At 48.0% G+C, this 13317-nt stretch overlaps 2 annotated features.

The window, feature by feature from the left end:
* Window positions 12799-13093: a silencer, noted in NCBI's record as "tiled region #10473; K562 Repressive non-DNase unmatched - State 24:Quies". NCBI's record gives its function as "weakly represses a minimal TATA promoter and a strong SV40 promoter by Sharpr-MPRA in K562 cells {active_cell/tissue: K562}" and the evidence as "EXISTENCE:reporter gene assay evidence [ECO:0000049][PMID:27701403]".
* Window positions 12799-13093: an enhancer, noted in NCBI's record as "tiled region #10473; HepG2 Activating DNase matched - State 5:Enh". NCBI's record gives its function as "activates a minimal TATA promoter and a strong SV40 promoter by Sharpr-MPRA in HepG2 cells {active_cell/tissue: HepG2}" and the evidence as "EXISTENCE:reporter gene assay evidence [ECO:0000049][PMID:27701403]".

The following is a 13317-nucleotide window of genomic DNA, read 5'->3' on the forward strand; positions in this document are numbered from 1 at the left end:
CACACACACACACACACACACACACACACACACACACACTGTTGGTTCTGCTTTTCTGAAGAACCCTAGCACAGAAGGGTATTGTGCGCACAAGCTGACAACATAGACACACCAACATCTGCTGCCTGCCAGGCCCTCAGGACAGGAGACCAGACCAGTCTGTAGATATCAAGGGAGTGAGACCCACCCCAAAATGTGGAGAAAACTGGTTAACAACCTGATACATGGACGTGGATGACAGCAGAATGGCTGGTAGTCAATATTCTTAAACTCTTTGTATGATTCGGAAACAAACCTCTCTAAAGCTCTGTCTGTATTGTGCTGTTTCTGAGAAAATTGTTCCCTCCTTGTACCCTGGGCTCTTGTTGAACATACCACGGTGGATCTTTGAGCTGAAACTTTGTTTGGGTCCTGGGCCAGATATGAACATTTTAGCCACTTCTCCTTCACCACCAGGAGCATCCCCGTGGCAATATCTGTCCCATCCAAACCCTCTTTGGCCCTCATCCCTCCCTTGGCGTTGGTGCTGTGGTCCCCGGATGGTTTAGACTCTATCAGAGGAGGAGAAGGAGGCACATCCTTAGGACAGGGAGACAGCTCGTGGCCTCGACTTCCCTCCCACACCAGGACACTCAGGAGAATAGTTTCATAATTTGGGTGCAGAAAGTCTTAGTGAGCACAATTCTTAAAAGCTTACAATCATTAAAGATAAGAAGAATTAAACTGACTCCATAAGAGCTGAAAAAGGCCTGGCACGGTGGCTCACACCTGCAATCCCAGCACTTTGGGAGGCCGAGGCAGGTGGATCACCTGAGATCAGGAGTTCGAGACCAGCCTGAGCAATATGGTGAAATCCTGTCTCTATCAAAAATACAAAAATTAGCTGGGTGTGGTTGTGGGCGACTGTAGTCCCAGCTACTCAGGAGGCTGAGACAGGAGAATCGCTTGAACCCGGGAGGCAGAGGCTGCAGTGAGCCGAGATCATGCCACTACACTCCAGCTTGGGCGACAGAGCAAGACTCTGTCAAAAAAAAAAAAAAAGCTGAAAAAGTAGGCACAGAATAACAAAAATGTAAACCAGAAGAAATGATAAAAATGGGTGAAACTATTTTCAACCTAATGAGATTCAAAGAAACTATATAGTTTACATGTGAATTGTGTTTACAAGAAAAGAATTTAAAATACGGGGTAACATAAACTTTAAAATCCATCAAAAGAGCAACAGGTAGGAACAGAAAAGCCTTAAAAGATAAAATAAAATGTGCCAAATAAGGAAAATGATGTTTCGACCTTTCTTGTACTCCAAAAAAATGAATATGCAAACCATACTGGGAAGTCATTCTTTCTCTTGTCAGATGGACAATAAGGAAATAGACAAGCAGAGTTGACTATGGGGTGAGAGCGGACGCCTTCTCAGGCTGCTGGGGAGAGCGAGTTGCTGTGACCTTTCTGGCAAGATCTTTTGGCAGTAGACTTCAAAGTTTAATATCTGCATGCCCTTTGACCCAGCAAATCCACTTCTGGGAACCCACCTCCCCACAGACATACACAAAAGCACACCCCACACACACACATGGTCATGGCAGCCTTGCCAGAGCACGATCAGCCGAAAAGTCCATAGAACGTGCATCTGGGTTGTGTGAAGCTCAACACTGATGCAGAATTTTACAGTCCAAAGACATCAGCCCCTTGTTAGACAAATGAGCTGTGTTTTGAAGGTCATCTAATGTTAAGATGTATATTACATAAGCAAAAGTTGGATTAAAAAACAAAAATGCATCATTATCCAAGTTTGAGCAACTGTAATACATTTATGCATCCATTTATTTATTCAGCTTCTAAAAACCATTGATGCTGGGCATGGTGGCTCATGCCTGTAATCCCAGTACTTTGGGAGGGTGAGGTGGGCAAATCTCAAACCTGGGAGTTTCAGACCAGCCTGGGCAACATGGCGAAACCCCGTCTCTACAGAAAAAAAAAAAAATTAGCTGGGTGTGGTGGCGCCTGTGGTCCCAGGTACTTGGGGAGGCTGTGGTGGGAGGATCACCTGAGCCAGGGAAGGTTAAGGCTGCAGTTGGAGGTTGAGGATCACCTGAGCCTGCGAGGTTGAGGCTGCAGTGAGCCATGGGGATGCCACTGCACTCCAGCCTGGGCGACAGAGTGAGACCCAGTCTCGATTAAACACACACACACAAAAACAAACAAACAGAAAAACCATTGAACACTCACGCTAGATATTCTATCAGGGAGAGAGGATGTGGCAGAGCTAAAAGAAAACAGAGTGTGCCTGCTTTCACACAACGTCCATTTCACTGGGTGAAAATCACAGAAGAATATAAGTACAAGACCATTTTGGAGAGCAATCTGCCGGTGTCTAAGAACGCTGATCCTATGTGTTCCCCTATCGCCCAGAAATTCCAGTTTGAGATTTGTGCCCTAGAGAAACTCTCACACATAGGGCAAGGAGGCAAGTTCAAAGATGTTCATTGTGACTTTCATTGATTTGGCAGATATTGATTGAGCAGAAACTGTGGACTGGGCACTGCTCTGGGCTCTGGGGAGATGTAGCGTTGCTTGTGATGGCCAGGAAAGCAGGAGGAGAGGTTACATCCCAAGTGCCTGCCAATGCGAGAATGGGTGAATAAACTGAGTGGAACGTGAAGAGCGGGGAGAGATTGGGATCAAGTTGCAGAAGGATCAGTCCACAGAACAGTCCTGCGCAGACCCTCTCTCAGAGACCTGGTTAATGTGCTTTGTGGACCTCTCAACTCTGAAATTATTTCTGTCCTCTCCTTTTTTCCCAGTTTTTAAAATTGTGGTAAAATACACATAAGCAGGCCGGGTGCAGTGACTCATACCTGCAATCCCAGCATTTTGGGAAGGAGAGGCAGGAGGATCATTTGGGCCCAGGAGTTTAAGACCAGCCTGGGCAACACAGTGAGACCATATCTCTAAAAAAAAAAAATTTTTTTTTAAATTAGCCAGGCAGGGTGGCGCGTGCCTGTAGTCCCAGCTACTCAGAAGGCTGAGGCGGGAGGATCGATTAAGCCCAGGAGTTTGAGGCTGCAGTGAGCTGTGATCACACCACACACTCCAGCTTGGGCAACACAGCAAGACCTTGTCTCAAAAAAAAAAAAAAGCCATAATATAAAATTTGCCATTTTAACTATTTTTGAGTGTACAACTCAGTGGTATTAAATACATTTATAATCTTGTGCAACCATCACCAACATACATCCCCAGAGCTTGTTTCATTTGTAAAACTGAAGCTCTGTCCCTGTTAAACATAACTCCACCGTCCCCCTTCCCCAGCCCCTGGCAACCACTGTTCCGCTTTCTGTCTCTCTGTTATTTGCCTACTCCAGGTACCTTATAGAAGTGAAATCCTACAAGATTTGCCTTTTTTTTTTTTTTTTTTTTTTTGTGGCAGAGACTCTCTCTGTCTCCCAGGCCAGAATGCAATGGCGCAATCTTGGCTCACTGCAACCTCCACCTCCCAGGTTCAAGCGATTCTCCCACCTCAACCACCCGAGTGGCTGGAATTACAGGCATGCGCCACCATGCCTGGCTAATTTTTGTATTTTTAGTAGAGATGGGGTTTCCCATGTTGGCCAGGCTGGTCTCAAACTCCTGACCTCAGGTGATCTGCCCACCTTGGCCGCCTCCCAACGTGCCGCTAATAGAGGCGTGAGCTACCGCACCCGGCCGGATTTTCCCTTGCGTGACTGGCTTATTTCACTTAGCCTAATGTCCTCAAGCGTCATCCACGTTGCAGCACGTGTCAGAACTTCTTTCCTTTCTAAGGCTGAATAATAGCCCATGTTCCGTTTGCCCATCGTTCGTTGGTGGACACCGGGGCTGTTTCCACGTTTTAGCAATCGTGAATATTGCTGCTGCGGGTGGGGGCAGAGCTGTCTCTCTGAGACTCTGGTTTCAACTCTTTGGGGTACGTGGTGACTCCAGTTTTAATTTTTTCCAGCTTTCCCTTCTCTTTGTGCCTTCAGCTGGAGTCATTCTGGATCCAACTAAGATAACTCATCTGAGCAGGTGGACTGACTGTGTGGCTCCCACGGACACAGCCACAAGGAGAAAGTTCTCTTGGCTCAGATAGAGGTGGGGAGGGGGTGCAGGGCTGTTCGTTTTCTCAGAAAACTTGTAGGAAGCACCTGCGTTGCACTAGGCGGGCATTTTGATCTCAGCACACTTCCAGCTCCAGACCTGGACATTTGCAGCCTCCTGGGCCTTCACTCTGGTTCCTCAGCCCCTCCCCTCCTCTTTGGCTATGGTTTCCACGGCAACAGCCTTGGCCCGGGCCTGCCTGGGGCCTGCATATCAGAGGACAGTGCTTGAGGGAAAACATATAACAACCGCCCCCGCTCTTCCAAAGACCGAGACCGGCTGGGGAGGCGTGGACTTGCGGGGCAGGGGGCTCACGCTGCAGCTCCGCCTCCCCCATCGCTGGGTCAGTCTGACCCCGTTAGCTCTTTCCTGTGAATCCTGAGAGGCGGTCCCTGAGAAGCGAAAGCCTCCTGCAAGAGCCGGTGATGTCAGTCTCAGCTTTTCCACACCCCTTGGTTCATTCCACACATCCATTGAGCACCACTGAGTACCTGACGCTGGTCCTGAAGACAGGGGCGCAATGCTGGGTGTTCTCAGCCTGAGACTTTCACATCCCAGACATTTGTCTGCCAGACACATGCATTGAATCACTCGACCAATACGGACTGAGGGCTCAGCAGGGCAAGGGTGGGTGCCACAGGAACCAGCCCTAGGCAGAGATCCCTGCCTCCTTGGGGTTTCCATTCTAGTGGGGAGTACACATGGTGAGCACAGAACACATAAAGTCACAGCACGATGAGCGTGGCCAAGAAACATCAATCGGGGGAGAGACGGAGTGACCTGGGCAGGCTGTTTTAGGTAGGCGTCCGGGAGGGCCTCGAGACCATGACGAGAAGTGAGGGAAGGGAGCAGAGGGACGAGCATTCCAGGAGAGGAACCAGCAAGGCCAAGAGCTTGGAGGTGGGAGTTTGTGGGGACATGCCTGTGTGAGGGAAGCCAGTGGCCCCTGGCAGCAAGGGCTCACAGGAGGTGAGGGCTGAGTCAGTAAGGGGCAAAGGGCATCCTCCTCCTACTCCTCCCTGCTTTTCCTCCTTTCCCTGCCTTTCCTCCTCCTCCCCTTCTTCCTCCCCCTCCTCTTCCTCCTCTTTCTCTTCCTCCCCTTCCCCTCCTCCTCATTTTCCTACTCCACATCCTAATCTTCCTCCCCTTCCCTCTCTTCCCCCTGCCCCCTCTTTCTCCTCCTTCTCCTCCCCTTCATCCTCCTACTCTTCCGCCCCCTCCTCCTCATTTTCCTTCTCCTCCTCCTAATCTTCCTCCCCCTTCTGCCCCCCTTCCTCCTACTGATCTTCCTCTTCTTCCTCTTCCTCTCCTTCCTCCTTCTCCTCCCTCCTCATCCTCCTCTTTGTCCTCTCCTTTTTCTAAAAAGCCTTTTAACTTGCCTGGCCAACACAGTGAAAACCTGTCTTTACTGAAACTACAAAAATGCAAAAATTAGCCAGGTGTTGGGGGGAATGCCTGTGATCCCAGCTACTCGGGAGGCTAAGGCAGGAGAATCGCTTGAACCCAGGAGGCAGAGGTTGCAGTGAGCCAAGATCACTCCACTGCACTCCAGCCTGGGTGACAGAGAGAGACTCTGCCTCAAAACAATAAATAAATAAATCTTTTAAAATGTGAAAAGCATTCTTAGCACTCTAACTGCCATGGTTTTCACACTCCTGAACTACAGTATGATTCCGATAGCACGTAGTACATTTTATGTATGCATATATGTGTATTTACAAGGCCAAGAAAATAAATAGCAAAATAAAAATATGATTACTTCCAGACTGTCTGAATATGAAGTAAAAACTGGTATTTTAAATTAAAAGCGTTAACACCTTTTATTCTCTTGGATCCAATAATTCTACATCCAATCTTTTTATCTTTTTCATTTCTCTCTGAGGATTTCATATGATGTGGTCAAGTTAGTGTATAAGGCTGTTGTTCTACCTTTCTGTGGAACAGTGAAATACTGACAACCTTATTCTCTCTTCCCAGAAGAACACCATGGCTTAATCAAAAACTTCTTGGCTGGGCACAGTGGCTCATGCCTGTAATCCCAGCACTTTGGGAAGCCGAGGTGGGGAGATCACAAGATCAGGAGTTCAAGACCAGCCTGACCAACATAGTGAAATCCCGTATCTACCAAAAATACAAAAAATTAGCTAGGCATAGTGGTGGGCTCCTGTAATCCCAGCTACTTGGGAGGCTGAGGCAGGAGGATCGCCTGGACCCAGGAGGTGGAGCTTGCAGTGAGCGGAGATCATGCCATTGTGCACTCCAGCCCAGGCGACAGTGCGAGACTCTGTCTCAAAAAAAAAAAAAAAATTCTTTCATAGGAGGAACTTCCAGAAAACCAACACCTAGTGTATATTTAAATATTCCTCCCGGCTGGGCACGGAGGCTCACGCCTGTAATGCCAACACTTTGGGAGGCCAAGGAGAGTGGATCACCTGAGGTCAGGAGTTCGAGACCAGCCTGGCCAACATGGTGAAACCCCGTCTCTACTACATTCAAAAAATTAGGTGCAGTGGCGGGCGCCTGTCATCCCAGCTACTCAGGAGGCTGAGGCAGGAGAATGGCTTGAACCCGGGAGGCAGAGGTTGCAGTGAGCTGAGATCTCGAGCCACCGCACTCCAGACTGGGCAACAAGAGTGAAACTCTGCCTCAAAAGAAAAAAATTATATAGATATATTCCTCTTCTCAAGGAAAGAAGCCCCCACCACCCAGTCCCAGTTCCCTGAGACAGAAACTGGGGAATCCCTGACTCCCTGTCACACCCTGGACATCCAGCCGCCGGGGCTGCCAGGTACTTCTCCGGGTGGCTCCTGAGTCAGCTGAGACTCAGGAGTGTGGTTCTCCCTCTGCCCACCCCTTGTGCTCTTCCCCCGGGACCCATTTCCCGCCACCTGCACCCACTATGCTTGACTTTCATCAGTTGTCCACACAGAACACGGACTGGAATTTCTTACAGGAAAATCTGAACCATGGCCCTCCCTTGCCTAAAACACCTCAAAGAATACACTTTGCATTTTATATAAATACTCGAATTCTTCTCAAGATTCACAAGCTGTTGGAGCTCTAGAATTTCTACATGGGAGGGAGTAAGAGTAGCAATTGAGCCACAATAGGGATGCTTGGAGGCTTGCCTTGAAGCTGTGTTCACAAAATGTTGTCACCAGTTGTGGGAGGGAGGAAGGAAGGAAGGAAGGAAAGAAGGAAGGAAAGGAGGGGGAAGGAGGGAAAACGGCTTCTTTTACAGTATGTTTCTGTGGGTACACACACAGAAAGCAAGGTTATGAAATCATAAAGGTTATTCTTACATGTTATATCTCACTTATTATACATATGTTATATATCTCATTTATTTTAATCCTCATTCATTTTTACTTTAATTCAACACTATACAGAATTTTGGAAATGGGTTTGCAAGGCCCCCATAAAGTCACTTAGTACAGGAACTAAAACCAATAGAAATTAGAGCCAAGGTTTTTAACCCCAGGAAAGGAGAGAGAAACTCATTTACAACTGGAGCCAGGGACATAATCTAGGAAACAGACACCTAGTATTAAATATGTTTATGAACATATTGAAAATGAACAGGCCCAGAATCCTGGCCACATTTTACTCTTTCCGAGAAAGCCATTCCCTTCCTGAGTGAGAAGGCGAGAGAGGGAGATTCAGAGAGATTTTGGGCTTCACCCTGGCATTCGGGACATTAATCAGGGAAAATTCCAAGTAGGTTGATTTATCTGGCACTTGGCTGAATGTTGACATTCTTACAGCCTCGTCCAAAAAGCCGTGAGATTCCGGGAGAAACTTCCCTCTCATGGGAGCCCTCCTTTCAGTTTAAGTCTGGCCCAGATTCCTCTGTGAGCAACTGGAGCCAGGACCCTGCTGAACAGAGTTTCTCTGTGGGCACAAAGTGCACTCACCATTGCCTTTTCTCAGCTTGGTGTGAGAGGGTGTAAGTGTTCTTATCATCACAGACAGGCAAGACATTCCGTTTTTAAAAGGTAAAAAGCATTCTTAGCCCTCTAACTGCCATGGTTTTCACACTCCTGAACTACAGTATAATTCCAATAGCACGTACATTTTATGTATGCATATATGCATATTTATAAGGCCAAGAAAATAAATAGCAAAATAAAAATGTGATGACTTCCAGACTGAATATGAAGTAAAAACTGGTATTTTAAATTAAAAGCCTTAACAAATTTTATTCTCTTGGATCCAATAATTCTACATCCAATCAAGTATGAAAGAAAAGGTACATGCTTCTTACCACATAGAGACAATGAGATACCACCTCGGACCCATCGGCAGGGCTACTGTCAAAACAAACCAACCAACCAACAAACAAACAAACCCAGAAAATAGCAAGTGTTGGAGAGGATGTGGAGAACCTGGAACCCTGTGCCTGGCAGGTGGGACTGCGCTTCTGATAGGGTATTCATAAAGCAGAAAAATGCCAGAGCTTGGGCAACATCCACAAAGCTCTCACCTCACTTGTAATCCAAAAACTGGATGCCAGACCAGGTGTGGTGGCTCATACCTATAATCCCAGCAATTTGGGAGGCTGAGGCAGGAGGATTTCTTGAGCAGAGGAGTTCGAGACCAGCCTGGACAACATAGTGAAGCCCCATCTCTACAAAAAATACAAAAATTAGCCGGGCATGATGGTGCTCATCTGTGGTCCCAGCTACTTAGGAGGCTGAGGTGGAAGGATCAGCCTAGGAGTTTGAGGCTGCAGTGAGCCAAGATTGTACCACTGCACTCCAGCCTGGGCAACAGAGTGAGACCCTATCTCAAAAAAAAAAAAGAAAGAAAAAAAGAAAAGAGGATACCCAAACCGAATTGAACCACAGTTTCCACTGTATCCTATGGGTGAAGATGAAAATGCAGTTGGCAGGGGCTGGGGCAGGCACGTGTGTGACATACTGCGTCTGTTCAGCATTTTGGGGAATGAGTTCAGACTTTAAAATATGTTCACTCTTTGACCCAGCGGTTCTGCCCCTGAGTGCACAGGACCCCTAGTCCCCACCTTGTGGTCATTACAGTGATGTTTATGAGGCGACTCATTAAAAGAAGGGATGTCGTGGCTGGCAGTCAACAGAAGAAAGCAATTTTGTATAAAACAACGTGTGTTTCTTCAGCATCCTGAACGCCATGGGTCGGGGTCCCCAGGGGCACCTCCAAGTTTCATGACTCACTGGAAGGACTCACAGCAAAAGAATGAAAAGCAAAGTCAGCGAGGGGGAATGGCACCGAGAGCCCTCTTCGCGGGAGTCACACAGGAGGCACCGATTCCTCCAGCAAGGAGTTGCAACAACACCTGTGAAATGTCATCTGCTGCGGAACTCATTAGAGACTCGATGTCCGGGGCACTTACTTGGGGCTGGTCACACAGGCACCTGCTGCCTGGCATCTACCAGAATTCCAGACGCCCAGTAGGAAGGCGGCTATTTAGCATAAACCATGCTATTTGCATAAACAGTGTGGACACAGTGAGACACCAGCCCAAGGGCCAACCTGCTACATAAAATCTTTCATTGCCCGTCGTAATAGCAAGATAAACCAGGATAAAGACTTATGTATAGACTTAAATCCCAACGCTGAGTAAAAATATTCCATTTACTCATTTTTTTCTTCACAATCTAGTGATGCTTGATGATGGTCACATGAAAAAGAGCAAACATAGTGGATGCCCCTGCCTTCCTGAAACCTCCCTGATTTATTTATTTATTTATTTATTTATTTAGAGACGGAGTCACGCTCTGTCACCAGGCTGGAGTGCAGTGCTGCGATCTCAGCTCACTGCAACCTCCGTCTCCCCGGTTCAAGCGATTCTCCTGCCTCAGCCTCCCGAGTAGCTGGGATTCCAGGCGCATGCGCCGCCACGTCCAGCTAATTTTTGTATTTTTAGTAGAGACAGGGTTTCACCATGTTGGCCAGGATGGTCTTGATCTGTTGACCTCGTGATCCACCCGCCTCAGCCTCCCAAAGTGCTGGGATTACAGGCATGAGCCAGCACGCCCGGCCTGAAACCTCCCTTTTAAACCACAATTTGGGAAAGCAATTTGGTCCCATCTAGAAAACTGTTTATGGTTTGAAAATGCACGTACCCAGAATCCTGGCCACATTTTACTCTTTCTGAGAAAGCCATTCCCTTCGTGAGTGAGAAGGCGAGAGAGAGATTTAGAGAGACTTTGGGCTTCACTCTAGCATGTGGGTCATTAATCAGGGAAATTCCGAGTAGGTTATAAATCTGTGCTTTTCCTCTCCCCCAGCAGCTCCATTCCTAGAAGTTTCACCAGAGCAAAGTCTCCCACGTTTGGGCGAAGGAGAGAAGTACATGTAGCAAGCACCAGCTCTGTGCTGTTTCAGGGTTGTTTGTAACAGCAGAAAATCCTGGGGCCATCGACAGGAGAAGAGATGAGTGGATCCTGCTGTGTTCCCCTAGTCGGATACTCTGTAGCCATTTAAGTGGATGACTGAGTGCCATGTGCACCCGCACGGATACGCGTCAAGGCAGTGATGATGTTTGAGGATGACACGTCTCAATACCGCGCAGCTAGTCTCACCACCCAGTCACTCTCTGTCTCAGTCGACTCAGGCTGGGTCTCAGTCTGTTTGTGCTAACAAAATACCACAAACTGGGTAATTTATGAAGAACAGGGATTTATTTCTCACAGTTCTAGAGGCTGGAAGTCCCAGATCGAGGTGCCAGTGGCTCAGTCCCTGGTGGGGGCTCTCCTCCTGGCTTGCGGACGGCCTCCTTCTCCCTGTGTCCTCACATGGTGGGAGAGACTTAGTGTCTGGAGAACTCACTTTCCCTTCTCATAGAGACATGAAACCTGTCATGGGCCCTACCCTGGTGGCCTCATTTAAATCTAATCATTGGCCAGGCACGGTGGCTCATGCCTATAATCCCAGCACTTTGGGAGGCCGAGGCGGGTGGATCTCCTGATGTCAGCAGTTCAAGAGTGGCCTGGTTAACGTGGGGAAACCCTGTCTCTACTAAAAATACAAAAATTAGCCAGGCATGACGATGGGCGCCTGTAATCCCAGCTACTCAGGAGGATAAGGCAGGAGTATCACTTGAACCCAGGAGGCAGAGGTTGCAGTGAGCCGAGATCGCGCCATTGCACTCCAGCCTGGGTGACAGAGCAAGACTCTATAAAAAAAAAAAGAAGAAGAAGAAGAAGGAGGAGGAGGAGGAGGAGGAGGAGGAAGGGGAGGAGGAGGAGGAGGAAAATCTAATCGCCTTCCAAAGGCCCTGCTTCCAAGCACCATCACACTGGGGCTTTGGGCTTCAACGTATGATTTTGGGGGGTAAACAAATGCAATCCATAGCACTGTCTATGTTCCTCATTGTATGAAGAACTGAAATTGTTTCCTGACAGCTTTGCAATTCCTGACAGTTTTGAGCTTTATCCACCAAAATCTACCTGGCAAGGAGAGCTAGGTGCATGCCATTCTCCCTAGAATCGAACACTGATCAGTTCTGGTTTTGCCTTGCAAGGAAGAAACATTCCTTACAGCACAGAGAGTGCAGGTGGGGATGGGAAACATGTTTTGTTCTTTTCCTGAGCTCATGTTGTGTTCCTTGTATGCTGGGACATTTTCAAACCCACGCATGCTCACCTCTGGAGCCTGGACATTGCCCAGCCCTGAGCCTCTCTCAGCAGCCCCTTCCTGGCTCCCACACAAGCTGCAGTTTCCATGGCAACAGGCAGAGCTGGCCTTTGTCCTTGGAGCCTCCCGGTGAGAGGTCTTTAGGGAAAACAGGCTGGAGCAATGGACAACAAAATTAAACAGCATGGGGCCCCGAGGCGTGTTCTTTCCTATAATTAAACTGCACCCTTGGACATTTGTAGAATGCCATAAATTGGCTGTACCCTGCTCAGCATTCCAAGTCCCCTGCAAGCATCATAATCAACCATTATCTGCTTTCATCATTTGTTTCTTCATTTGTCTATGCATTAACCATTGATTTTACCCCAACAGTAGTAGCAGACACGCTTCTAGAAAATGGAGATCTTGCAGAGGTTTCTAACCAGGGACCATTTTGCTTACAAAGAGGCATTCGGAAATACTTTCAGTCGGCACAGCTGGAAGGGGTGGGTTCTATTAGCCTTGAGTGGGTAGAGGCCAGAGGTGCTGCTAAACATCCCATAGTGTACAGAACAGCCAACCCCTGCCGACCCCGACACACAAGGAGGAATGTTCTGGCCCCACAAGTCAGGAGTGCCCTGGCCGAGAAACCCTGGGATACAGTGATTTGCAAGAACCCACAATGAAAACCCTTGAGGCACGTACGCTCTAGGGAAGGAGACAGCTCATGAAATATAATGCATGTGCCATAATGAAGAATCAGAGATAGTAGGAGAGAGAGCAACGGGGGCGAAGGAGATGGAGCAGCCAGGGCTGTCTTCTCCCAGGCTGTGATAAGTGAAGAGAGACGAGTAAGGGGAGGAAGCAGTCCTGGGGAAAGAACACTGGGGAGTGGGCACAGCAGGTGCCAAGGCCCTGGGGCAGAAACACACGGAGTGCATTCTGGGAAGGATGAGGAGACCAAGATGGCTGAAGTCCTGTTAGGGAGAGTCAAGGAGAGAAGGAAGGGATGTTGGATCAAGAAGGTCCTTGTAGGTGGTAAGGACTTGGGATTTATAATTTAGCTGTTAAAATTAGGAATTATGAGCATCATCAATATTAACTGAGCATTTACTCCATGCCGGGCTTTCTGTAGAGCACTGAGATTCCTAGGGCCTGGAAGCCGGCTTAGCTAATGGGAGAGAGTGGAGGAGGTCAAACAGACAGTCACGTAGAGATAAACTTCAAAGAGAACAAATACTTTGTCCAGGGACACTCTGGGCTGTGTGGCCACTAGGGCAGGGGTGGACATGAGAGGAGGCTGCGATTAGGGCACTAGCCAGGGAGAGAGGCAGCATGGATGTGTTTTGGATGGTGGAACTGTTAACTGAGACAAAGGATTTTTGTATTTTTAGAATCAGCAGTTTCAAATTTAGGATGGGGCCAGGGTTGCCAATAGATACACCATCAACATTATCATTACAATCATTACTTATTTTTATTTTATTTTATTTATTTATTTATTAGAGGCAGGGTCTTTCTCTGTCACCCAGGCTGGAGTGCAGGGCTGTGATCATAGCTCACTGCAGCCTCAAACTCATGGGCTCAAGCCATCCTCCCACC

The sequence above is a fragment of the Homo sapiens genome, chromosome 19 (assembly GCF_000001405.40).
Source record: "Homo sapiens chromosome 19, GRCh38.p14 Primary Assembly".
NCBI classification, from domain to species: domain Eukaryota; kingdom Metazoa; phylum Chordata; class Mammalia; order Primates; family Hominidae; genus Homo; species Homo sapiens.